The following is a 27,726-nucleotide window of genomic DNA, read 5'->3' as shown; positions in this document are numbered from 1 at the left end:
ATTCTCTCTGTCTCTTTTTTTATTTTTGTATAGAAAAAGCCCTCTTTTGTTTTTTTAGGTATATTGAGGTGAAAGTTGTAGAGTGACAGATTACTCCACCACCCCTTTCAGTGAGACTGACAGCACCTTGGCTCATGTAAAACTCAACGTGGCTTTATATAAAGATTTTTCTAACTCCCCTGATCTTCTCTGGATGTTTATTCTGTTTCTTCTTTCAAATTTCCGTTGATTCAATAAAAAACGGTGATATTTAGAAATAAAGTTCAGAGAGGATTTGAGCAGGTGTTGGTGATATAAAATATTTGCTGAGTGCCCATTGTGTTTTATTTCCAAGAATTGTTTTGTGAACATATGCTATATATTGTATTTATAAGTGTTCAAGGTCTGGATAGATAATCTACCATCTTCCTGTGAATGTCATGTCACAGTGGACTTAGAATTTTATTTCATTTCAATCCCCTAATATTACTTAATTCTCCTAGAGACTGAGGTTTAAAGATTGCCCAAGGGGAACAAACCTATCCATTAAATCCAGCAGGCAGAGTTGAATTTGAGTTTGAGAATATTTTGTTTTCTTTTAAAGTTAAGTGGTGTGGAGGAGAGAAATACTTTTCACCTTGGAGTATTGAGTGTGAAGTTTGAGCAATTTTCTATCATAAAAGCCTGAAAACTTGGAAATAAAGAGGTGGCAAAAATAATGCTGACTGTTGAAGCTGCTTGGGGGTGGTATTTATAGCAGCACCGCCTTGCCTCTATAGAATGCAGAGCAATCTGTCTGCATACTTATTGGTGCCTAATAATGTGCCTGGTTAGGTGAAGCTTTAGTAAAACTGAATTTTAGCTTATTTCTGCAATCCACTGAATAGTTTTGTGTATTGTCTATGACATTATTTGTATTTTTGCAAAAAGAATAATGAAATATATTTTACTGAGTTCTGAGAGGATTATAGAAACAGAATGGAGTCTTTCTAAACTAGTGACGTTAGTTTGAGGTAAGCATATTTTTGACACTATTTTTTTGTATTCACATATTCACAATTATGTGTAAGACCATCCCTAGAAAGATAGTTTGATATTGGAGTAACTATTATTCCGGGCTTCCAAACTATCTTTAAAAAATCATGAGGCCAGGCATGGTGGCTCACCTCTTATCTCAGCACTTTGGGAGGCCAAGGAGGGTGGACTACTTGAGCTCAGGAGTTCAAGACCAGCCTGGGCAACATGGTGAAACCCCGTCTTTATAAAAAAATTTTTAAAAAATAGCCGGGCATGATGGCACGTGCCTGTTGACCCAGCTACTGAGGAGGCTGAGCTGGGAGGATAGCTCGAGACTGGGAAGATTGCTTGAGACTGGGAGGCAGAGATTGCAGTGAGCTGTGATCGTGCCACTGCTCTCCAGTCTGGGTGACAGAGGAAGACCCTGTCTCAAAAAAAATAAGATACGAAACCATGCCTTTTCTGTTCTTCTATCCATTAGACCTTCTTTCTAAAACCATGATTGGCCATGTAGTGCTAGTGAGGTAATAGTGTGTGTGTGTATATATATATATATATATATACATTTTTTTTTCTGGAGCAAGGATAATAGCAATAGCTAATAATAGTTACCACTTAATTATACTGTGTTCCAGACACTGTTCTGTTTATACACATTGTTTTATTTAATCTCTACAACAACCCTGAGGAAGGAATTATCCCTATTTTCAAACAAAGGAATTAAGGCCCAGACACGTTGAATAGTTCACAACTAGAGGAACCAAGACTGGAACCCATTTTTGTGGTCTTCAGAGTTCAAGCTCCTACCATGAAGGGCTCACTGTCTTCCATGTCCTTATTCTGCTTCAGACCTAGAGTGACCATATATCCTGATTTGACCAGGATAGTTCCAACCCATGCCTGTTGTTTTGGCATTCTGTCGGGTTTAGTATTTGTGCTGCTGCTGTTCCTAAGTTCCAGAATATTTAATTTAAATGATAAATTAAATGGTCATCCGACCTCAGACATCAGACATGGTTGATCATTCTGAACATGGTTAGAATGGTACCTTTGCTTTTCCATATGGGATATCTAAAAGGTGACATGTTTGAATATTTTACTGCATATATCAAGTTGTGGATATTTTAAAAAACAGCTTATTTTTGGTAAAAAGTAATTTTTCCAATTAACCCCATTTGTAAATACTCTTCATTTCTTATGATGTTTCTTGAGGAAAAGTAGAAAATTTTGCCCATTTTTGTGTTTTGTACTACACATGACTCATAGTTGGTCTGAAAAAGAATTTCACTAATGAATTTTGAATAGGTATTTATTTAACTTATAATGATGCACAATTATTTTTACAAATGTGTCACTATCTGTAAATGCTTCCTTGTAGGTTGTAGCGAATACTTAACCATTGCAGATTAAAGGAGACTACTGGTTCTAATACTTTGAATAAGTTGTCTTTCAATTAAAAAGAAGAAAGTTATCTTCATCAAATGGTTCAGTACCTTTGGCAAGAAATAATTGGCAAAATTAATCTCTACTTTTTTAAGTATGTGGGTTTTTTCAAATAATTGATGATATTTTGCTACAACAGGCAAAGTTTTTCTGGTAAAATTATTTGTGCATTTATCCTCAGATGAAGTTCTTAGTGCATTCAAATTTAAATAAACTTTTTCAGTTGTTTGGTAGGTAGTAGTATTAAATATTAGTTCTGATATTGATTCTTTTAGTACTTATAGTTATTTAATATCATTTTTAAGGAAATACTACTTACTATGTAACACCAGAGTATTTAACCTAGTAAAATCACTTTAAAGGAAAAATCTATATGATATGTATATATTTCAGCCTGCTTTGACTTTTAACTTCAAGAGATGAGATGGGACTGAATTTGATGTGGGTGATTTTGGCTTATTGATTCTCCATGTTGACATTATTTTGTCTAATAGAATAATGTGAATATTTATTATGGTCCTAACATGTAATGGTAATTTTTAATTTCTGTGTTGTCTTTGGTTCCTAGTGAGCAATAGTGCATAAGTGAACATTTCTACAAATACAAATAGTAGTAATTAAGAGCTCCCATAGAATCATATTACGGATATTTCTGGATGTGCTACTCTAAATGCTGCAACTGCTTTTGTGTTTTTCAGGCCATAAAAAGATGAGTAAACAGAGGTACGCATTTAGCTTGCAGTATTTAAACATATTTCCTTGTTATGAAATCATAATTTGTTTTTAAATTATAGGAAAGAATGAGATACATTTTATATGATGATGAATATGGCGTTATAAGCCCATGGATTTAGGGACATCCTAGTCTCAGATCTGTTTTAAAATTGCCAACAATGAAGAAAATCTTCATTTATTGATGAAAATGATGATACCTTATTGACTGCTTGGACAAATTTATACCATCTCCCACTTCTCCCAGGAGTTGTCTTATTCTTAATTCACCAAACCAAAAGTGGCAATTAAAATAACTCATTGTTGTCAAAATTTAAAAATGTGTGATAAATGAAGCCCAGTAAATAGTGAAAATATGAGAAAGGTGATTAAATCTGACAATTTTCTTGTAAAAGACTTGAGATGATAAATATCTCCTGTGATTAGTTATTAATTTAGTGCAAGGGATTTTGCTTCAGCCTAAAATATTTTATGAACAGTGGCATATAGAAATATTTTAGAAGATAGGTACACACATGCTTAACCATAGGAGAAATTGCTGGAACTTGATTGGTAATAATTAAAAATGGCAGACATGACATGCAAGTGTCTGGGCTATTTTCTGTATGACAGTCCTTTCAGAGATTAGGAAAGGGAAGTGTTTCCTGAAGACATGAAGAATGACAGAATACTTTCAGCTTGAACCTTTACGCTTCATGAAAATGGAAAGGTTTTATGTATATCATTCTTCAACTGATAAAACATTTAATTTAAGACAGTATACAATTACTCCTCACTTACTGAAGTATGAAAAATATCAAAGTTGTTACTTAACAATTATAGTTGCACTGCTACTAATAATTTCCCTTAAAATGAATATGAATTCCATTTAAAGAAAAGATGAAATAATAATGTTGATTGTAATGAAGTGCTGTATCATGTTACTGTCTAGCTGAATCTATAGCGCATGGCTCTGCTGGTGGCATATATTATTGTGCGGATGTGTGACGTTTTGTTTATGAGTCTTTCTCCTTGTGAGGAGGACCTGGATCTTCATCTTGCGCCCTGTGCCCTCACTTCACAGCCCCCCTCCACCCCTGCTTCCAATCAGCACCTCACACACGGCCCTGCTCAGAGGATTAATTTAATACATTCGTGTTGGGAGAATTATAGATCATGCTTTTGTATGATGAATAAATTTTCTTTTAAATTTGGCTGAAACTCTGGCTGAAATCCAGGCAATTGGTTCAGATTCTCCCTTTCTAACAGATTTATTTATTTCTGAATAAAGTTGGTGCTTCATAAAGTGAAAATTTAATGTCATTGTTCGGATTCAGATAGAGCTTGCGTTATGTATTACATGCCATTTGTCTGAAAGCCATAGCCTCATTTTTGAACAAGGAATAGAATTCCAATGTTCAATCAGTGCATTTTGCCCTTTTAATAGGGACTTTGGAATACTTTGAGTGAAGAAGTGAGGAACCAGAAACTTTGCCTGCCTTCCATTTATACCTGTGTTAATTGAAAAGAGGCTGAGGAGACAGTTGCAGCTTTTTTTTTTTTTTTTTTTTTGCTTCTTTGTGTAAAAAGTATAGCTATATGAGAAAAAAAATTGTATGAGTTTTTCTTTAGCTCTTCTTGTAGTACTTTTAAGTGCTTCTTTTCAAATGTATATTTAGTGTTTGGTTAATTGCTACTATGAACCTAAACACACTGATTAAGGCCAGGTTCACATTAGAACAATTATCTGGTTAATTGCTCTGGTGCAAAAAGAGGCTAAAAATCATCAGAACATCAAGTTGTGAAAGCACTGGCAGGAGTTTCAAAACCACCAAGCATACCTACTGCAAATCACATCAGCAAAGCAATTAATTTAGGCTAATTGCTTTTCTGTTTGTTCAAGATGCACTTTGGAACTGTCTTTTGAAATGGTGGCAATTAAGATTAGTGAGCAATATAATTAAAAAATGTTAGAATAGTCACTATTTTTTAAAAGTGTTAACTATTCCATATAAACCTGTACAATATATCTCTCATCCATATAGTACTTTGAAATAATTAAACAAAATAAGGTTATTTAATATATTTATAAGATTTCCATAAGAAATAAATTGAGGAGTAGATTACCTATGCCTGAACTATAGCATAGGGTTATCTTTAATCCTAATTTTCAGTTAGAATTATCTAATTTCAGCAATTCATGCTATGATAGCTTGCTGAATGTGGTGAGAAATAGCTAGCCTCCAAAGGTGATATTGGCTACTGGCATTTTCTCCAGTTGAATGTATGTTTGGCTTCTCATATGGCTTCTCATAACATAATCAGGATTTTAAAATAAATTAACAACCAGATTTGACACAATTCACATTATTGAGGTTTTCCTTGTTATTAACTATTATAATTTTGGCAGCACCAATTTGTCAAAAATTGTAAGCTACTTAAGTTTCCAGCTGTTTCTCTATGAAGCAGTGTTGTAGCACATCCTCAGCTGAAAAGAATGACAATTTTAGGGATCAATTTCTTGTTAGGAAATGTAGAAATACCATTATTGGAGGAATACCCTTTCATTCCCCAAACTGTTTCTCTGTTCACCATATTGTCAAACAAGCAAGTAGCTCTTTCCTTTACCTCTGTCTTTCCATAGAAGCAATTCTTACGCGGTATGTTTAGTGACATATCCTGCCCCATTAAATTGTTCAAAGAAAATAGGTTGTATTGTATTAAAGACTGTGGCTCTGCAAATGAATCTTTTAGAGAAACACGTGTTAAAGGAAGTCCTGGTAGCAATTATCATTTCTTTACTGTAATAAATTTGATCTCTTCATAATTCAGTATGAATAGATCTTTGGACATAGCTAATTAACTACATCACAAAATTAAAATTTTCTCTAGGGATTATTTTCTTTTTTTTATTTTATTATTATTATACTTTAAGTTCTAGGGTACATGTGCACAATGTGCAGGTTAGTTACATATGTATACATGTGCCATGCTGGTGTGCTGCACCCATTAACTCGTCATTTAGCATTAGGTATATCTCCTAAAGCTATCCCTCCCCCATCCCGGGATTATTTTCATAGGAAAAAAGTATATGTGCTTTTTATAAGGATATATTTTTCTTCTTTTATAAACTTCATGTTTTCTAGTAGTGCTACATACTCAATCTAGATTTCTTGGTGATGCTATTTGTTGTGGAATGTTCAATTAGAAAACTGCTGTTGGCCGGGCACAGTGGCTCACACCTGTAATCCCAGCACTTTGGGAGGCCGAGGCAGGTAGATCACTTGAGGTCAGGAGTTCGAGAGCAGCCTGACCAACATGGTGAAACCCCGTCTTTACTAAAAAAATACAAAATTAGCCAGGTGTGGTGGCTCACACCTGTAATCCCAGCTTCTTGGGAGGCTGAGCAGGAGAATCGCTTGAACCCAGGAGGTGGAGGTTGCAGTGAGCCGAGATTGCACCATTGCACTCCAGCCTGGGCAACAAGAGCTAAACTCCATCTCAAAAAACAATAAACAAATAAAATAAAGCTGCTCTTGTAGGTAAAAATATCAAATTAGATGGAAATTTATTGATTAGAAAAAATAGAAAAGTGTTGAAGGCTCTTAAAACACAGAAAAATCACCCAACCAAGCAACTTAAATGATGGTATCAGACGTTGAGTCTGGATCTTGGTCTTCTGTTGAAATCTGTGACTGAAGCAGCAGAGTAATATTACTTCATGTTGGGGAAAATGCAAGCTAGTACCTACTTTTGTCCTTCAGAACTTCTGTGATTATTTGTAGTTGAAAATATAGGTACTATAAAAATTTCTCTATTTTGTAGAAGATAGAAGATGTCAAAGTATAGACACAATTTCTGGCTGTATTTTTATATACGCACTCTTTTGTGCAATATGACGTTGCCTGTCCTCCCATCAAAAGGTGGAGTCTTTTGCTTTATCCTTCTATCCTCTTATATCTGTGCTGGCTTTGTGACTTGGCTGTGACTGATAGAATATGGTGGAAATTTCGTTGTGGGCCTTCTGAGCTTTGGCTTCAAGAAGCCTTGCAACTTCTGTTCTTGCGTTTTTGGAATACTGCCACCAACATGTGAATAAGCTCAGACTGGTCTCTCTGAGAATAAGAAATCACATGAAGATGGAAGTCTAAACAACAGCCAGAACCAACTGTCAAACATGTGAGTAAGGCCATCTTAGACCATCTATATTAGTCTGTTTTCACGCTGCTGTTGGGGACATACCCGAGACTGGGTAATTTACAAAAGAAAGAGGCTTAATTGGACTCTCAGTTCCATGTGGCTGGGGCCCTCAAAATCATGGCGGAAGGCAAGGAGGAGCAAGTCACGTCTTACACGGATGGCAGCAGGCAAAAAGAGAGAGAGAGCTTCTGCGGGGAACTCCTCTTTTTAAAACCATCAGATCTTGTGAGACTTACTCACCATTGCAAGAACAGCATGGGAAAGACCTGCCCCCATGATTCAATTACCTCCCACCAAGTCCTCCCACAACACTTGGGAATTCAAGATGAGATTTGGGTGAGGACACAGCCAAACCATATCACTATCCAATCTTAGTCAAGCCTTCAGATTCCTGCAGTCCTTTGTAGTAAAACTAGCAGAATTGCTTGGCAAAGCCCAGTTCAAATAGCCAGTCCACAGAGTTGTGAGCAAGTAAGAGTTGTTTTTTTAAAGCTACTAAATTTTGGTGTGGTTTGTTTTACAGCAATAAATGACTAAGATACTGACTTTGTAGCTGCCCTATGTGGGGAATTTTATATTAAGTCAGGCTGAGAGTTTTTCATTCATTAAGTTATTTAATTATCACATTAACTCCATGACATAGGTATCATTATGCCCTGTTTTATAGATAAAGTAAAATGGAGCACAGATAGGTAGAATGTCTTGCTGAAGATCACAGATAGCAAGTGCAGAGCCAGGATTGAATGTAGATCTGTCTGACCTCAAAGCCCCCACAATATCCTAGCTGTTAAACTGCCTCCAACACCTTATTCTGAATTTAAAAATATAGTTGGTTGCAACAAGCAGTTAAACTTACCTTGGAGTCCCTGAAATACAAGTGCTAGCTAATAACATTACAATAAAGTAAGTATTAAATAAAATAAATATTACAATAAAATAACATCCATTTGCAGTTTCCAGTACTGCTATTTAATCTTGAGTATTCATTTAGAGAATGCATGGAGAAAAAGGCACCTCTTCAGGTCTCATAAGGGACTGAGTCTGAAAGGGAGAATGTGAAAACAAATTTTAAAATATATAAATATAAGCCCTTGACTTTATATACATTAAAGATAGTTTTGGTATTTCGTGGTATTAAATATCTGTGTTCTTTTCTTCTCTGTTGTTGAATTATGGAGAAATTGAGAGGGGAAAGAAGACCCTTCCTTAGAATAGTTGTTACTGTGACATAATCACCACTATATTTATGCCTTCAACATCTACGTCTTTTGATAAAAAGTCTTACAGTGCTGGGCACGGTGGCTCATACCTGTAATCCCAACACTTTGGGAGGCCGAGGCGGGCAGATCACTTGGGGTCGGGAGTTTGAAACCAGCCTGGCCAACATGGTGAAACCCTGTCTCTACTGAAAATACAAAAATTAGCCGGGCCTGGTGGCAGACACTTATAGTCCCAGCTACTTGGGAAGCTGAGGCAGGAGAATTGCTTGAACCTGGGAAGCGGAAGTTGCAGTGATCTGAGATGGCACCATTGCACTCCAGCCTGGACGACAGAGTGAGACTCTTGTCTCAAAAAAAGGAAAAAAATAGTCTTATAATAACATAACTTCTATGGTATATATGTAATAATGGTACTAATATCTACCAAAAACTCCACATATAGAAATGGGAATCTTTATTTTTGAAATTCTTCTAACTAATACCTTAGTGACAGTACATCCATAAACTAGTTAATATTAGTTGGTGATTCTGACATGTATATAATATCTTATCATACCCATTTACCATAGTGACACACTAATCAGACCTGCCTCAGATTTTCTTGCTTGTTAAATATTAATGTCTGGGAGCATTTCCTCCATGATTTATTATGGTATTTTGAGAGCTATTTTCATTTGGGAAATATGATTTCCATTTGTTTTCCTTTTAACTTGAATTTAAACTGAATTCCTATTTTTGGTGTTGATATAATTTTTTTTCATTAATAAATTACCAATGATTTTAATATTGTATTGTGCACACATGCACATAAATATTTTGCTATGTGTGAATATATATTTGGAGAATCTTATGTTTGGGGAAAGAAGGGAGAGAGTAAGTTACATTTTTTTCTTTTAGTTTTAATTTATACTCAGATGGATTATAAATTTTTTAGAATGTTACATTGTTAACAGCATGAGAGTTAAAACTATAGCCAGGAATTGTGACTTTTCCACAATCTTGGGCTTCTAAACAGAAGCTCACTAAATGCATGTTGATGGATTGATTGGATAGCAATCAAACCTAGTGAATATAAGCCTATGTTCAAGGTAAGATAAAAGAAAATTGACCTACTCAAGTTGAACAAGATAGAATAAGTCAAAATAAGTCTGTAAAAATCTTCAAGTTCATTTATTGGGGGTAGACACGGCCCTTAAAAATACTCTGTAAATGTAATGGAAGAGTTAAAGCAGCACTCACTGAATTCTCTAACATAGAATGGTGGCTTATCTGTGAGGTATGTGGATTCAGTTTTAGCCTAACTGACAACGTGTTAACCTTACTAGATTTAAAAAAACTAAATACAGGGGGATAAAAATGCTGGAGAAACATAACATTCTTATGGCGACAATTTATTTGGAAAAGAGATGACAAAATATGTCAAGACAATGCCCTGGCTTTCTTCATTAAAGTTAGTAAATGAATTTGAAGGAAACCAAAACAACAGTTGTTTTCTATAACATTTCTTTCTACAGATGTATAGACATTTATGGAATGACTATCTTTGAGGAAATAGATATTACTTACATAGAGTTAATATTTTGGATGTTATGATCTTGTTGGAATTAGAAGCTTTCAGTAATTTACATCCTTAAATAGATTTCTATCTTCTTTTTATTTCCAAGATTTTTCTCACAAGTTTATTCCCAGTACAGAGACATCATTATGTTATAGAGGAGCTTTTTTGTGTGATAGCTCTTGGCAGCCATCCATCTGTAAGTAGGACATAATAGTGAAGCTTGTTAGAGGGGGAGAAGTGTAAAGTATTACCAAGCAGGCCCTGACAGGCATTTAGACATCCACGCAGACATTGCTGCTGCTTGATGGCCGTCTTCCATTGTGACAAATGTAGCTGTTTAAAAAGGGACAAGGTCACAATAACTTTACAATGCTACACTCCTGTTGTTTATGGGATGCACATATATTTTACTCCTGATTCTTTCCCCAGTGACAGTATTTTCCTTATGTTTAATTTGAATGGTTTTATTTTTCTTTACTAACTTGCCACTCTTAGTTGTACACTATATTTCAATCCTCTAAATGGGTTCTCTATGTACATGTTGCAGTTGGTAAAGCATTTAGAATTTGTGATGATCCACACTGGTTTTCTTGGGGGTATGCATGGGAGAGAACATGGAATAGTAATGCAAAGTGGTAGGAAATCCTAAATCGCAACTCTCTGTGTTTTATTAATGCTTATATTAGCATTGATTTCACTTCAGCTAGGTGTTGGGAGAATGATGTCCTGCAAGCATTTAGATAGAGCAAACTGCCTGGGATTCCACCTAGGTAGATTAATCTTCAAAACAGTTAATCCTTAGGCCATTAATGGAAAGTCTACATATGGGTTATTTCAAACGTTCTATTAAAGCAGTCATTTGGAATGGGCCAATCATATATGTATGAAAATTTCAGAGTATACAAAAAATATATTCCGTTCATCAGTAATGAGCTGCAGTCATTCTTTGGATAATCACATTTGTAAGCTAGACCCATTTGAAAGAAAGATCTCTAGTCTTAGTGTAAAAGTAATTTTCTCCATGAGATCACCCTTCCCCTTCCCCTCTCTTTTTTAAATTTCAAGAGAGTAGGTGTATTCAACTGGGTTGTTTGACTTTAAGTATTTATATAAGTGAAACTTACTTTCAAAGACTGCAAAGTGGGAAAATCAACAACTTTTGACTTTCTATTTTAAGGGCAATTGGAGTAAATTTTGTTCAATTTTTATTTAATTTGCTGTGACTACTTTTGACATTCACAAATTATGTCATTCATTTTGACACACAAATAGGAAAGTGAATAACTTTGGGATTCAGATGTGACAAGCTCCTCACAGGTGCCTCCCATCTCCTCATTCCTCCTTTCCCCAGGAGCAACGATATGATCTCTAAAAGAGATGTAGTTTTTCCACCAGCTTTTGTAAAATGAGTCTTTCCGTTTCTGACCCTTTAAAGAACATTTGTTTCTTGGATAATTTTTTCCCCCTTTAAGTTGTGTCTTCTTCCCTTTCTTAAAGCTGTGATCTGTCTACTTTTTTTCTGATGACATTTTCTCAGGTTATTTATTTCCCCTTTAATATGGATCTTCTTCACTTTCTTAAATCTGTAGAATATTTTCTTTTATTGTTGTCAGTGTCACTGATGACATTTTCATCTGATTCTTGACATATTCATTTTATAAAACATGGCTTTGTAAGGAGTTTTTTGGTCACTGACATTTTGGCAAACACTTGCCAGTGGCCACCAGAGAAGGTCAGTTAGACTCAGAGCAATTACATAAATTACCCTGAAAGACTTCTTCAAATACCTGTGAATAGAGCTTGCAGTGGGAGCTAGGAGACTGAAGTCCTTTATGTTTTTGTTTTTGTTCCAAAATTTTATCACTGGGTCATTCACTAACCTTGCTAAACTTATTAAGTTCTCTTTTATGCTTGTGGTAATGGGAACCCACCTTAGTGAAATGTTTGGAGGCTTAATCATGTTTCAAAAGCACCTTGAGCATGAATCATTAGTTCATTATTAGAATGGTGGCTTGGGTGGTGCCATCAATCATCGATGCTTTATCACCATCTTAGCCTCATGGTTTTCTGCAAATTGACAGTGAAGGTCTTAAATCAAACTTTGTAAAGACGCTAGCAGATTCTTGAAGGTTACTTATTGCTTATGGTATGGTAGCACTGAAGTGTGCACAATTATCTGAAGAAAATAGGACAATTATAGTGTACTCATTATACTATCTGTTTTCAGATTAAATGGACAAAGTGCATTCAAATTCATAATAGAGATTTAAAAAAAACACAATGATCTCTACTTATATTTTATGCTGCCATAAAATAAGATCTCTTAGTATATAGCTATTTTATATTTTTGTGAAATGCTTTTCACTTGGATTTTTCATCCAAACATATTTTAATAGTTACATTTAAAAATATATATTTTAACATTATCTGCACCTACACATCTAATGGATTAATAGGAGATTCAGTGAAATTCAAATTATTCCAGGAAGCATACCTTTTAATTTCTAATTTCTAGCTCAGTTGAGAAAATGATCTAGTGACTGAAAATTAACTATTTACTTTGAGTGTTTATATTTAATTTTGAACTTGATGTATTCCAAGAATCAAAGGATCTGATTGGAAGTAGTGTCAAAGGTCAGCTAATTTAGCCTTCTGCCAGCAAGCTCTTGACTCTTTATCTATTGCGTATAGCTTGTTGTTTTTTGCTTTTCATCTTTTTACCATGTTTTTTTCATATATCATCTGGGTCCACTTTGTTAACATATCAAATCACACTCTATCTGATGTTCAAAATGCTTCTTACAACTAACAGATCAGCACTGTCTTAGAGTATTTTTTAAATCAGGTTATTTATTATCAGTTTTTTAAAAAGACTATAACACATCATCTTAACTTTGGAGCTTAGAAACGTCTATGAGATATGTTAAAATACAGAGGTGTCTCCCTGGAGCATGTGTTTTGCAGGAGTAGAACAAGGAGGGCACTGTGGACTGCCTAAGGGCAAACTGCTAGAGGTAAGACACCGGCAGGTGCTTATTTTTCTTTGCTTGGGTCTTGCTCTGTTTTTCCAGGCCCATGCATGCAGGTAAAATGCTAATGCTGTTTATTCCATTTTTATTGGCAGCTCTCCAAATTTGATTATTGATATATCTGAATTACAGTGGAATGCAACATCAAAGTCTCACTTGACTCTTTCCTGAGATATTTGTCAGTAGAATTATATATATACCTCAATGTCAGATAGATCATATGTACTTTTTAATCTGTATGAAAGTGAAATGTTATAAGGGAACTGTGAACTGCTTGAAAATGAGTTTTTGGTGGGATAGTGAGGTGTCTCACGTGGGTTTCTTCCTTAGGTTACTATATTATTTCACTCCCTGAAGAATAATCATATTTTCAATAACAAGCACTTAAGTGTGTTTGTGGATTTTCTTTGTTGTTCCCATTTTCTGTGCTTTGGTATTTCATATCTTGTACAAACTGACTAAAGTGTACATTAATAAGCAGCAGATTAATAAACACTGCCACTTGTGACTGGTAGTGGATGGAGGAGTTTTCATGTTCCTACATGCTCTTTTTGAAAATTTTAACCACAGACACTCAGAATTGTAAAGAACTCCCGAGCAGGACAACCCATCTAACACCTATATTTTGCTATTTTGAAACTAAGGCTCAAGGATAATCTGTGACCTGTCCAGATTCATGCAGCTAGTTAGTGATGAAGGTGAAGCCTATATGCTGCTTTCCATTAATTGTGAGGCTTTTATATCCCACTATTCTCAGCTACTCCCTTGCCTTTCTTTATTAGTAATTTATTTGTCACCAACGTTTGTTTTCTTTCATGGTCTAGAATTGACTGTAGTCTCTAGATTGTAGGCCCTTGTATTTCTTTTATGGTCCTTTGAATGGAAAATAGCATACACACAGTAGATTTTTAGTAAATATTTTTTAAAAGAAAAGACTACTTAAAATCCCACTATTCAGAGATTTCCACTGTTTACATTTACATCTTTTCAGTTATGTGCATATCCATGTGTAACTTACCCACTTCCTTCTGTAATTACACTGTCTGTAATATTTTGCAATTGGTGCCTGTCACTCAACTTCTTTTTGTTTTAATAACTATAGAACTATACCACCATTTCTAACAGGTTAGTGGTAAGATTTTAGCACAGTGTATTTAACAAATCTCTTATTAATAGACATTCTGACTATTTCCAATTTTTACTCCTATAAATAACTGTATGATAAATATTCTTATTTCTATATCTTTGTATACTTTTTGTTGTCTCCTTAGGAATAATTTCATGAAATCGAATTTCGATGTCTGTGTCTCTTTCTCCATACCTATGCCAATTGTGGATGCTATCATCAGCTATTTTGGAGCATTTAAAAATGGCTTTAAGGTTTAATAACTGACAAAACTTGGAATAAGTTATTTAGGCACAAGTGTATTTTTCACTAAGGGGCAGAATACTGTAGTAGATACGAGCATCAGCTCTGGAGCCAAACCATCTGGATTTGAATCCTGGCTCTGCCACCTTCTACCTGCTTGTCATTGCGCAAGTTACTTAACTTCCCTGTTTCTCATCTGTAAAATGGAGACAGCAGTAGTACTTACTTCATAAACTTATTGTGTGATTTAAATGTCATTGTACATGTGAAGTACTTAGAATAGTTCCTGGCACATAGTTAACTACTTAATACATATCAGTTATAATAATGATAATTATTATTATTATCAGTCAGTGAGTATTTGATTTCTACCTACAATGATGTTGGAATGTGGAATTTGAAAGGAAATTTGAGACATTACCACCACAGTGTTCAAAAAAATACCTGCCATATACTGGAGGAAATAAGACGTTAAGTAAATGAAAGTTGCATAATTAGGTTAAATAAAGCAGAACTACAGCCTAAGAAGAGGCTTGGACTAAGACATCGTTAATTACCAAATGAGTGATATATTCATGAAATAGGGTCCTCTTGTAATACTTGGAAGGGCAATAATGAAGTTTGTTCTACTTGTTTTTTATTCTAACAGGAACAAACCTTCTGATTTAGAGTGATCATGTTTTTCACTTGGTGCACCACAGTCCTGGTTCGTGTATGGCTTAATGTCATGGTTGGATAATAAATTAATTATGTGCTTATCCTATTTCCTGTTGATATTTTCTTTCTTTCAGTGTCCTTGTGATGTCAATTCTTGCTTTGGCTTAAGAACTATTTTGATTACTAAGGCATCTTTGCTCATTTGTTCTGTTTCGGAGTAATTTTATAGTTTGATTTAGAGGACAATCTTATTTTCAGGTGCTCAGGGAAAAGCTCATACTTGCCTATCTTGTACTGCTTATAAATATCAGGAGATAAAATCTGGAAAAATAGTTTATTGCCAGGTTTTAGATGACCTAGCATGTTGCGTTAAGATAACCAATAAAGACTTTATTTTTCTGAAATTAAAGAGAGCAGTATTTCAGGCAATTAGGTGGAAAGTTTCAAAACTATAAGTAAAACAAATCCAGTGTTTCTTAGACCTCTAACATATAATTTTGCACAGAAGTTTGCATGTAATGCTAAACATATTTTGACGAATATGTAGTTCTCCATATCTTCAGTACAGATTTTAAAAAATGTTTTAAGGCCAGAAGCAGTGGCTTATGCCTGTAATCCCAGCACTTTGGGAGGCCTAGATGGGCGGATCATGAGGTCGGGAGATCGAGACCATCCTGCCTACCACGGTGAAACCCCGTCTCTACTAAAAACACAAAAAAATTAGCCAGACGTAGTGGCGGACGCCTGTAGTCCCCGCTACTCGGGAGGCTGAGGCAGGAGAATGGTGTGAACCCGGGAGGCGGAGCTTGCAGTGAGCCGAGATCGCGCCACTGCACTCCAGCCTGGGCGACAGACCAAGACTCTGTCTCAAAAAAAAAAAAAAAAAAAGAAAAAAAAAAGTTTTCATGTCCTGCATTGTTGACATCTTAGCCCATTTTCGTGTATTTGTCAGTTGAACCTTCTTATTTCCTTGCCTTTGGTGTCACAATAATACATTTAAAGGATTGAGAGTTTAGTCTTTGAATTATGAATAAATGGTAAGGAGAATATAAAGGAATAGAGGTTGACTCTCTGATGGGCCCTGGCAAAAATGAAACTTTTTAACCTCTTTCGTTGTAACTGTCTTCTAATTAGATATTATCAAATGTTAGAGGAAAATGCTTGTCACATTTGAATTTATTATGTAGGAAATTTATGCTCTGAATCATAATGGTACTAGATGACTTTTTTCTGATGTAGTTAAGAATATTGTAATATAAGAGTTTGATCCAGTACAATTTGTATTTTTTAAAATCATTTTTAATATGTTAGGCACTGTGCTTTGTACTGGTGATACATAGTTGAATCAGAAATGGGCTCTACTCTGAGGGGTTAATAAGACCTAGGGATGGCTACTTAGGATTTCAGAAACCTCTCTGCACATCAATACAGAATAATACCAATAACCACTAACACTTCTATAGCACTGATTCTGACAGTTACTATTCCAAATGTTATATATATATTAAATTTCCGATAACCCTGTGAGGTGATACTGTTATTGTGCCCAGTTTTCAAATGAGAGAACCAAGGCACTAGAGATTAAATAACTTGCCCAGTGTTGTATAGGTAGAAAACAATTTTCTATCCCAAGTGAGCTATTTTGAGAAACATTATTCACATATCACTGTTTTGTGCCTTATAAACATTATGAGAAGTAGTTGCTAGTGCAGTTCAAGAATGAATATGTGGAAATTACTGAATATAATTTCATTAATTCATTTACCAGATTTTTGTATGTTTGTTTGTTTGTTTTTTAGAGACAGAGTCTTGCTCTGTCACCCAGGTTGGAGTGCAGTGACATACGTCACTGTAACCTTGAACTTGTGGGCTCAAGCAATCCTCCTGCTTCAGTCTCCCGAGTAGCTGGGACTACAGGGGCACACCACCACCACCACGCTTAGCTAATTTTTACATTTTTTATGGAGATGGAGTCTTACTCAGGCTGGTCTCAAATACCTGGCCTCAAGCAATCCTCCTGCCTCTGCTCCCAAAGTGCTAGGATTACAGGCATGAGCCACTGCACCCAGCCCCAGGTGTTTATTGAGCTCCTACCTTGATCCAGCATTTGGAATAAAGCAGTGAGTAGAACATTTGGATTTCCTACCTTCACATAGTTTAAAATTTAACATGAATTTGCCACAGAATTAATAATTTAGCAATATTTGCCTCATAGAGTTTATAATTTAGCAATAATTGTATAATGCTTTTGCCACTTTACGTTTTCATAATTTCTATTTATCCCTTTTAACGCTGCTGAGCATGCTCTGAAACCTTATTTGCTGTTCCTATAATTAATGGTCTCCAATTTGCATACGTGGACAGTTTTTAATTACTGTATATTGTACTTTTCTTTAACCTAGATTTTCACACATTGTACAATAAATTCCTTAACCTGCCTTTTATATGTCTAAGATCATTGCTCTTGCTGATGAAAGATGGTCCCTGGTTCTCACTTAGGTTTTCTAACTTACTTTTAGGAACTACTAACAGGGATATAGTATTTAACTAAAAATTCCTATTGCAACCAAATTTCTTTACATATGTGGAGAAAATGAATATGCTTTTATTATCCTAATGAGAAAGTAATCCTGGACCCCGAGTTGATTCATTATTGCCCAGTGGTGTGAATGCCTGCTGGTTATTACAGCTGATGAGGAAGGTCTAACCTCTGTGTAGATCTTGGGATGCAAATGGGTAGCAATTTGTGAAAAGAATCAACTTACTGGTTGAGTTTGTGTGGGTTTTTTTGTTTGTTTGTTTGAGACAGAGTCTTCCGCTGTCGCCCAGGCTGGAGTGCAGTGGCACGATCTCAGCTCGCTGCAACCTCCGCCTCCCGGGTTCAAGCAATTCTCCTGCCTCAGCCTCCCGAGTAGCTGGGACTACAGGCACACACTGCTACGCTTGGCTAATTTTTTTTTGTATTTTAGTAGAGACGGGGTTTCACTGTGTTGCCGAGGCTGGTGTCGAACTCCTGAGCTCAGGCAGTCCGCCCACCTGGGCCTCCCAAAGTGCTGGGATTACAGGTGTGAGCCACTGCGCTGGGCTGGGGTATGTATGTATGTATGTATGTATGTATGTATGTATCTATTTGTTGATTAATTATTCCCAACATGCCACAGTTTTTTCTCCCGGGACTCTCTTAACAGGCTACCATTTATGCATAATCTTGGATGTTGAAAAATAAATTCTCTTCCCCTACCTCTCCTCCAGGAACCTAGTGTTTCCCAATGTGGAGGCTTAAAGGCTTGGGAACTAGTTGACCTTCTCAGAGGCCCAAAAGCAGGGTGAAGAAAAGCGTTCTTGTTCTCAGCAAGGGAAATGGCTCCCTTCACAGCCTCAGCCATAAATCCTCTGGGTTGACGGCAGCTAACTTTCCAATAAGGCCCTTGTCAAGACTCTTACCTCCCCACAGAATTATGTGGGCCCAAAAAAGGTGCATGTGCATGGACCACAGTTTGGTGTTTTAAATCATTATTATTTTTAGATCTTTGAGAGTAAACTTCTCTCTTCTCTAGTCCTTTCTCTAACTGTCTTAAATAATAGCTGAATTCACTTTTTGACTTTAAACCCTGTTTTTAGGTCTAGTTTTAGTCTTCAGGGTGGCTGCCTCTAGTATATGAAAAGGGCTTCCCTATGGAATTTTTGTCTGTAGTTCAGATATTCAACTAAACATAGGACATAATTTATGAAAAACTATTCTTCTTATTGGTTGCTCATTTTGCCCCAGTAGAATGCCAACCCAGTTCACTCTATATTCTCAAAGCTACTAACTGAGAACTTTCTTCTTCTTCTCTTTGTTTCACAAGAAAGTAGTGGTTTGTCTAATTACTATACTGTAGTTACAATTATAGAGAAAAGGTCAGTCTAGTCATTGCCAATTAAAGTAGGAAAAAGCTACATTTATAACCACTAAGAGCCATTATATCAATTTAATGCTGTTCATCAGTGTGTAACCCGTTTTCTAAGACATATAAATCTAATCGTGGTATTATAGTACACTTACCCTATTAAAAGCCTTTGGTGCTGCAGAGAAGAGATTATTGCAAGCAACCTATATTAACTGTATGTCTTTTCATTGTGGCTCATCATAAATTTTAAGATCTGGGTTTTGTAAAACCTGGCCAACGTGAGTACAAATAGGTCCTCCAAATCACTGGTTAGCCCTTTTATTTTTAGGTATTTGACAAAGCAAAATAATCTGTTGAGATTAAGGTTTTTCTAATTTTTTTTGACAGGGATATCTATGTAATCATGCATTGTATACTATTGCAATCATATTTCTTTTTACATATAGAGAAAGTGTATAAATTTTTACTCTCCTAATGAGAAAATAATCCTGGGACCTAAGTTGATTTATCATTACTATTTCTGCTTTTATATCTTCATGTAGTATTTAGGGGATTTTGGCTCGTAAAAGACATCGTGGATTTAGTACAAGTTAAGAAAATATGATAGAAATGAGATATTTTCATTAATTTCACCCATTATTTAAAGTCTATCCGAACACTTTTGAGTGTATCTTTACACGATGTTTTAGTCTATTCAGGTTGCTATAACAGAATGCCATAAACTGTCTTATAAATGACAAAAATTTATGTCTTACATTTCTGGAGGCTTGGAAGTTAAGAACAGAGTGCCAGCATTGTTGGGGTCTGGTGAGGGCCCACTTCCTCGTTCATGGATGGCACCTTCTCACTGAGTCCTCACATAGTAGAGGAAGGAACTACCTCTTTGGGGTCTCTTTGATACGGTAGTGAATTCCATTCAGAAGGACGCTGCCTCTGACCAATCACTTCCCAAAGGCCCCATCTCCCAATACCATCACCTTGGTGGTTAGTGTTTCAAAATATGAGTTTTCAGGGGACACAGACATTCACACCGTAGTATATGCTATGCAGGTTGTATCACACTATCAACGGATTATTACAGATCTGAAAGGTTGTCTTCCTAAATTGTCCTTTGCTGTAGGATTTTTATGGATCAAATTTCATCGTGTTTTGAAGTAAGAAAAAGCGAAAGGAAAGTCGTTTGGCTTAGATTTTTGAGGGATATGAGAAAATACCTACATCTTGATATTGAGTTGTAGATTTCTCTGTTTAGAGTAACTGTCTGTAGTAATAAGGTCAAGGACATTCTGATCTTTATTCTCTGATACCCATCTAAATCTAAAAGATTGCATTACTAATTGAAATACCACCACTCACTTGTCAGAAACATTTATATTATGCTGGTTCCCTTTTCCTTGTTCCAGTGAGATTCCAGGTGTATCTTCCACTTTTTGAAGCTCTCCATAGCTATATTTATCTCTTCTGGTATCTTCTACACCACAGAGAAAATGTAAAACCAAAAAGACTCATCAAGCTTTCTTTTATTGTTTTAGCTTCCAGATGCTATTGTCTTAAATTCCCTAATCTGAATATTTCATGGTTGATTACCTTAAACTTCCTACTGAGCCTAGTTTGCTGTAATTAAAACCGGAGTTAAGACATTCCACTTATCTGCATAATCAGTGACTATTATCCTGATTCTCTAGAAATCAAATTTTGGATGAATTGATTTTAGGATCTTTAATCCTTGGTCTGTATGTCACCAGAATAGTGCCTGGCCCTGTTCCTTCTGCTCCAGTCTCTCTATTTTTTTAATGTTTAAATAATGTCAGCCTCTACCTCCCCTCACCCTGGGCACATGGATGCACATGTGCAAATGTGGATGCACACACACACACACACACACACAGACACACACACACACGCCCCACTGTCACTGCTTTACAGTTATAGTTTTATTTGTGGAAATTTGATATCTTTAAAGTATTTTAAGACACACTACTTCCTAGTTGCTTAAGCCCCTTTTTTGAGGTTTTAATTTTCTTATTAAAATTTCTGTATACTTAATGTTAAATTTACTTTTATGTATCCAATAAGTTTTTGGCTATTGTGAATTATATTGGTTCAGTGTTTTCTAATTCGTTGTTGGTAAATGAGAATATACTTTTTGTACACTTTAATATACTTATGGATACTAATTTTATAATTGATCATCTTTCTGAACTTAATAATTTTAATAGTTTTATAGATGAGTTTTAATAGTTTTATAGATGAGTCTCTTGAATTTGAAAGTAGACAGTTACATCATCTGAAAATAAGGATAAATTTGCCCAGTCTTCTCTAGGATTTTTACCTTTTATTTCCTTTATATACCTGATTGTATGTTCTAGATATTCAAGAGGCAAGTTTTGTAAGTAAAGTTTGATTATTTACATCTACTTCTTGCTTTTTCTGTGAACTTTCCCTCTTTTCTTTTTCTTCTCTATTTTTTAAGCAGACACATTAAATGAAATAAAATGGCAATGAGTATTAATGGAAAGTTACCATTGTCTGGGAAGTTAGGGTTGAAAGGTGGTATATAGATAGAATTGATGCATTCATTCTGCTTAACATTGAACTTTTAAAAAGCTAAACTGGGTTACATTTTTGTTTTTAATTTCTATCAAGTAAAAATTAGTGGTTCTCAGTTTTTTTTAATATTTTCTTTTTCTCAAGTATTTATATTTCTTAAAATATGGCTCAGCTCAAACAGTACCATTATATGAATTTATTTTGCATATAATATGCTAAATAATAATTTACCTACAGATTTTAGTTTTAGTTTTTTTTTTTTAAAGAAAAATCAAAGTTCATTTCACTGGTTATTGAGCCTTCACAGACTGTTTCTAAAACTGTTCGTAGAATACAGCAAACATGATCTTTTGAAATAAAAAAGTTTTATTTGTGAGTTTTCCTATATTTTCCCTTTAAAAAAACGAACCTTCCTGTAAGAGATACCTTGACATGTTTTCATGACTAGATCTATATGAAATAATGTAATTTAGTAGTGATTTAGAATTTTAGGACATTTGTTCACGGAATGTGTATTAATACTACTGTGTTGTCAAAGGAAATGAATTATTTGCAATGGAAAAGTCTTTTGGACAGAAACCTTTCCCCTTTCATTTATTTATTTAATTTTTTTCTCTAATTATATCACATTTGTATGTTTTCCCTAGCCTAGTTTTTTTTTTTTTCCAGTTTGTTCAGTGCCATAGATAGGAGTGCATGAACTGGAAAATCGAATACTAGATGATGCATATTATCAGATGGTAGGTATTTGCATATCTAAGAGCTAGATCTAACTCTTGTGTTTTGTTTCATTGTATAAAATAGATTTATTGAAATTCTTATTTTTAAATATGGAAAATATAGATTATTTAAAGAATGATTAGAAATAAAGTTATATAACTTAATTTTGAAAGACTGTTAGTTTAGTCCTTCATATAACTAATTGTCTTGGCCCTCACTAATTTAATTGTTTTAATTTTTCTGGTGTCTGTTTGCCATGCAAATGTGCTAACATATTTGCATTAGAAACAAATTATTATTCTTGGAACTTCAGATTAGAGCACGAGTTTAATTGCTCCTTTTAATTTTTTCTTTTGTTTTTATTTGATATATAAAACTAAAAATATATTTCAAGGAAAAGCAATTTTAGATAGAGTCACAAAGTGATTCCTGAAACTTGCTTTTATGAAATAAGATGAAAACTTATTTATACCAAATATTTTTATAACAACACATTTATAATTTCTTTAAGTAAGGAAAAAGCAAAAACAATTAGGGATTGATTCCTAATAGGATGCTAAAATTTCCACAAACTTTGATACTTTCTTTACTCCAGGAAATTTTAACTCTCAACGTTGTAAAAATGATGACTTAAAAAAAATACTTCGGTTTAATATGTCTAAGATATATAAATAGGATTATGTAGTTACAACCCATATTACTGTACATGTTTCCAGAAATTATTTAGTGATATCAAATATATTGATTTTTTTCCTATGTTGAGTATATACAATTTACATTTCATAGAGGATTTTGTCTTCTCAATTAATTTTATGAACTCAAGTATATATATATATGTATACTGAACACCTAATATATTCTGACACTGTGCTAGGTGCTGGACACAAAAAAGTAAATAAATAACGTGATCTCTTATCATATGTATGAACCAATAACTAAAGTATGATCTGATGCCTATTGTAATAGAAATCATGAGAAGGAAAATTAAAAATAAGAATAATTCCCTATTAGGGTTATAGCAAATATTCTTCCCAAGTTTTAATAGTTTATGGTGGATAAGACTGTCCTCAGCTAATCTGAACTGTTTCTAGGTTGCTTCTTTGAAATTAAAATTAAAGCTACATTTTAGTGTCTTTTTTTCCAGCAAAAGGTAGCCTTTTTATTTATAGTACTCTAATTTTCCAGGCAGCATATAAGAATTATGTAATTTTGATATGCTATAAATTAAATTTTAAAAGCAAAATGCAGAGAAGGATAATAATTAAAATTGAAAATAACCTGAGGGCATAAAGTGTTTATTGCAAGATGGATTCCTTAAGGAATTCTTATTTTTATTTTTTGTTCTAAATCATAATTTATTCTAGGACTAATTTATATCTGAACTCTGATGGCATTTTAGGCGTTTACAGAAAATCAGTTTATGGACTAGGAGCTAGAGAAATTAGGAAGGCACACTTGTAAGTTCATCAGAAATCAAAATAAATTCTTACTAAGCATTCCAGGGATCTGCTAGTCAAAATGTTGCTCATTGTTCAAAGTTCAGAGAGTTTTACCCCTCCTAGCTACTTGGGGGTTAATTGTAGAGCCCACAACTAAAATTTTTCTTTTTTTTTGAGACGGAGTCTTGCTCTGTCACCCAGGCTGGAGTGCAGTGGTGCGATCTCGTCTCACTACAACCTCCACCTCCTGGGTTCCAGTGATTCTCCTGCCTCAGCCTCCTGAGTAGCTGGGATTACAGGCACGTGCCACCACGCCCGGCTAATTTTTGTATTTTTAGTAGAGATGGAGTTTCACCATGTTGCTCAGGCTGGTCTTAAACTCCAGACCTCGTGATCTGCCCACCTCAACCTCCCAAAGTACTGGGATTACAGACGTGAGGCACCGCGCCCAGCCTAAAATTTGTATTAATCTCTCATCGGAAACCACAAACAGCTGTAAGAACCTGCTGTATGTATTATAATATCTCAGTTTTTTCTGTCCAAGAAACTTCACCAGAGGTTTAAAATGTGTATATATATTGTATTTGAGTTTATATGTGTTTAATTTGTTCCCTACTTGGTTACAAAAGATTTGATCAGCTTATCATGAATATTAGTTTTATTAGATTAATTTTACTGGTAGTTAGAGGAAAGTGGCAAATTAGGTTATTTTTTCTTATTAAGTCTGAAGGGTGGCCTGATTTCTTGTTAATCTCTAATCTGTTCATTCAATTTATGGAAATCCCGTTTCTTGACTTCATTTTTTGCTTCCTGCTTTCAGAGCAGTCTGTAAGGATTAGGTCCTTCCTAATTTCTTTGGTGTTCATTGGTCTGTTCAGGGGTAATGGTTGGCTGGGTCTCCTTCATGGTTCCTCTTTTCACCCTTTTCATTCATCTTTTTAAAAATATTTTTTGTCCTCTTTTTTCATATATATACACATATATATGTATATACATATATATGTGTATATATATACACATATATATGTATATACATATATGTGTGTGTGTGTGTGTGTGTGTGTGTGTGTGTATATATATATTTTTTTTTTTTTTTTTGAAACTGAGTTTCATTCTTGTTGCCCAGGCTGGAGTGCAATGGCGCGATCTTGGCTCACCGCAACCTCCGCCTCCCAGGTTCCAGCAATTCTCCTGCCTCAGACTCCCGAGTAGCTGGGATTACAGGCATACACCACCACGCCCAGCTAATTTTGTGTTTTTAGTAGAGACGGGGTTTCTCCATGTTGAGGCTGGTCTCGAACTCCTGACCTCAGGTGATCCGCCTGCCTCGGCCTCTCAAAGTGCTGGGATTACAGGCGTGAGCCACCATGCCTGGCATATCTTTTTTTTTTTTTTTTTTTTCAGCTGTGATCCTTTCCACACTGTTTTCTTTTTTTCCTCCTCTGAATTTACGTGTCTCTGTTTTCTGTAATATCCCTTTCTCTCCTCTCTCTCTCTCTCATTCTCCCATTTTGAAGATAATCTTGTTCTTCACTATCCAAATTCAATGTTTGCTGTTTGATGGAAGGTGGAACACAGTTGAGTAAAGTAACCCACCATTTACCTGATGTCCCAGTTAGCAGATTTGAGGAGTGGGCTCATTTGGGCTATTTGTTGGCAGATTTGAGGCAGATTTGTTGGCAGAGTGAGCTCATTTGGGCTATGTGACAGTTCCTATATAGCCACAAGAAAGAAACACTTCCTGCAAGAAGGAAAATTGTACAGGTTAATTGGGCCCTGGACACCTAGTTGGTTCATAGATACAGGTATAAACGGTGTTTGAGCATTTTGGATGTTTTAAAAACAGTTTTTAAACACAGTTTTGCACAATAATTAATCATCTGTAACCAGTCCTGACAACAGTGTAGAGAGTGTTCTCATGGATTGAACCCTGTGTCAGAGGATGGTTCTGACTTTAAATGAAGCTCCATGTTCAAGAAGGCAAGCTGGCCCAACCTTGATATTTTTTTTAATGAAATTTCCTAACTCTTAGTCACAGATGTTATTGTCCATGGACCAAGTGCTGATCATGGAACTGTGGGGTTACCACCTAGTAGATCAGCAACGTGAAGGCTGGTCTCTACAATAAAACTTTATCTTAAATTCTTATTTTCTCATTACTTATACCTTGTAATTCTTTTTCACAAATATTTAATATCAGGTTTATTGAGCCTACCAACCCTGCAAAGTATGCAGAACAAATTGTATCATTATATTAAGTGGAAAAACTAAATTCAAAGAAGTAGCTTATCCAGTGTTATCCTGCTAGTTGGTTAATTCACTTCAGTGCCATGTATCATAATGCTTCCTAGTTGAATAGTAGTTTCCAAATAATAAAATAGAAATTTTTAGTTTAGATCCATATTTCAAGATTCAATTTATATGCTACCGTATCAGGATTGCCAGATAAAATATAGGCTGCTGTATTAGTGTGTTCTCACACTGCTAATAAAGACATACCCAAGACTGGGTAATTTATGAAGAAAGAGGCTTAACTGACTCACAGTTCCACATGGCTGGGGAGGCCTCACAATCATGGTGAAAGGCAAAGGAGGAGCAAAGTCACACCTTACATGGCAGCAGGAAAGAGAGAGAGAGCATGTGCAGGGTAACTCCCCCTTATAAAACCATCACATCTCATGAGACTTACTCACTGTCATGAGAACAGCATGGGAAAGACTTGCCCTCATGATTCAGTTACCTCCCACCAGGTTCCTCCCACGACACATGGGAATTATGGGAGCTACAATTCTAGATTTGGGTGGTGACACAGCCAAACCATATAAGATGCCCAGTTAAATCTGAATTTTACATAAACAAGAAATACTTTTTAGTATATCTCATGCAATGTTTGCATTTTTATTTACTAAATATGGTAATCCTGTATCACTTCCAGGGGTCCTTTTCTAATTTTCATGCCTCTCAACAGAAGGATACATGATGCTCCCTGAATTCCAGGATATTTTTTTCTCTCTATGGTACTTTGTATTTCACTTTACTTTTTGTAAAACTGACTCTTCATTTTTATGAGACTGAAAGATCCTGTAGTAGAGGCATTTAGTTTTAAGTATCTTCATGCTGTATCAGCTGACAGACTGAATCCTTAAATCCAGTATCCTGCTGAATCATACTAGAGCCCGAGGCAAAAATATAGAAGAAAGTATGCCTGTATATGCACTTATCAGTATATCCCCTCATATTTTGTACCAAATGAAAAAAGTTAATAAAAGCTCTACAATAAAAAAAATTGACTATATAGAAAGATCCACAATGCCCGACCTGTTGGACACCATTGTGTCCTTCCAAGTGGGGGACTCCACCAGTTAAGTAGAAATGACCATTCTCATTGCATAATAGTGGAGGATTATCAAACAACAGCAGCGTTAATTTAAAATGTTGATATTTTGTCCATCATATTGCATTAATGTTTATCTTAAAAAATATTGTACTAAATTATTATCTTGACTTTTCAGTGTTTTGGTACCCCCTTAAATTTTGTGCTTCTGGTTAAATCTTTTGAGAGAGTGCATGGAGTTGTTTCATTTTAGTATCTACTTAATGTTTTTATGTCTAAGTCACCTATGTATTCAGGTTCACCAGCGATTCAAAATCTTGAGGACCCATTGAGTTCTTTCTTTTATAAATGAAGAAACTGACCACAATGGGAAGGTTGAGACCACAATTTCTTACTTGCTGTGATTTCTGCTGACCATTTAGGCTTTCCTGTGGAAGAAGGAATCATTTAACTCAAGCATTCTTGTTGCCTTTGATATCAAAGTTCTTAAGAATAAAGAATGTCATTGGAGCATATTGTGTTCATTATTAGAACCATTAATGCGTGTCGATCATCCCTAGATCACTTCCTTTGAATGTCTGCCAGGTTTTTCGCAGAGGTAAAAATGTAA

At 35.2% G+C, this 27,726-nt stretch overlaps 1 protein-coding gene across 6 annotated transcripts in view; it reads left to right on the top strand.

Moving 5' to 3' along the window:
* The window catches only part of FBXL17 (F-box and leucine rich repeat protein 17), a 523,064-nt gene that overhangs the window by 202,628 nt on the left and 292,710 nt on the right, over positions 1 to 27,726 (top strand). Inside the window, exon 7 of one of the 6 annotated variants that reach the window (XM_011543577.3) lies at positions 34 to 27,629. The exons of the other annotated variants lie outside the window; for them this stretch is intronic. Coding sequence (XP_011541879.1) covers positions 34 to 58 — 25 coding nt within the window. The 3' untranslated portion in view covers positions 59 to 27,629. Of the gene's footprint in view, positions 1 to 33; positions 27,630 to 27,726 lie in introns of those variants that run through there. 6 annotated transcript variants of the gene reach the window in all.

Source organism: Homo sapiens, chromosome 5 (assembly GCF_000001405.40).
Source record: "Homo sapiens chromosome 5, GRCh38.p14 Primary Assembly".
Taxonomy (NCBI): Eukaryota; Metazoa; Chordata; class Mammalia; order Primates; family Hominidae; genus Homo; species Homo sapiens.
This window is presented reverse-complemented; position numbering and strand designations above follow the sequence as displayed.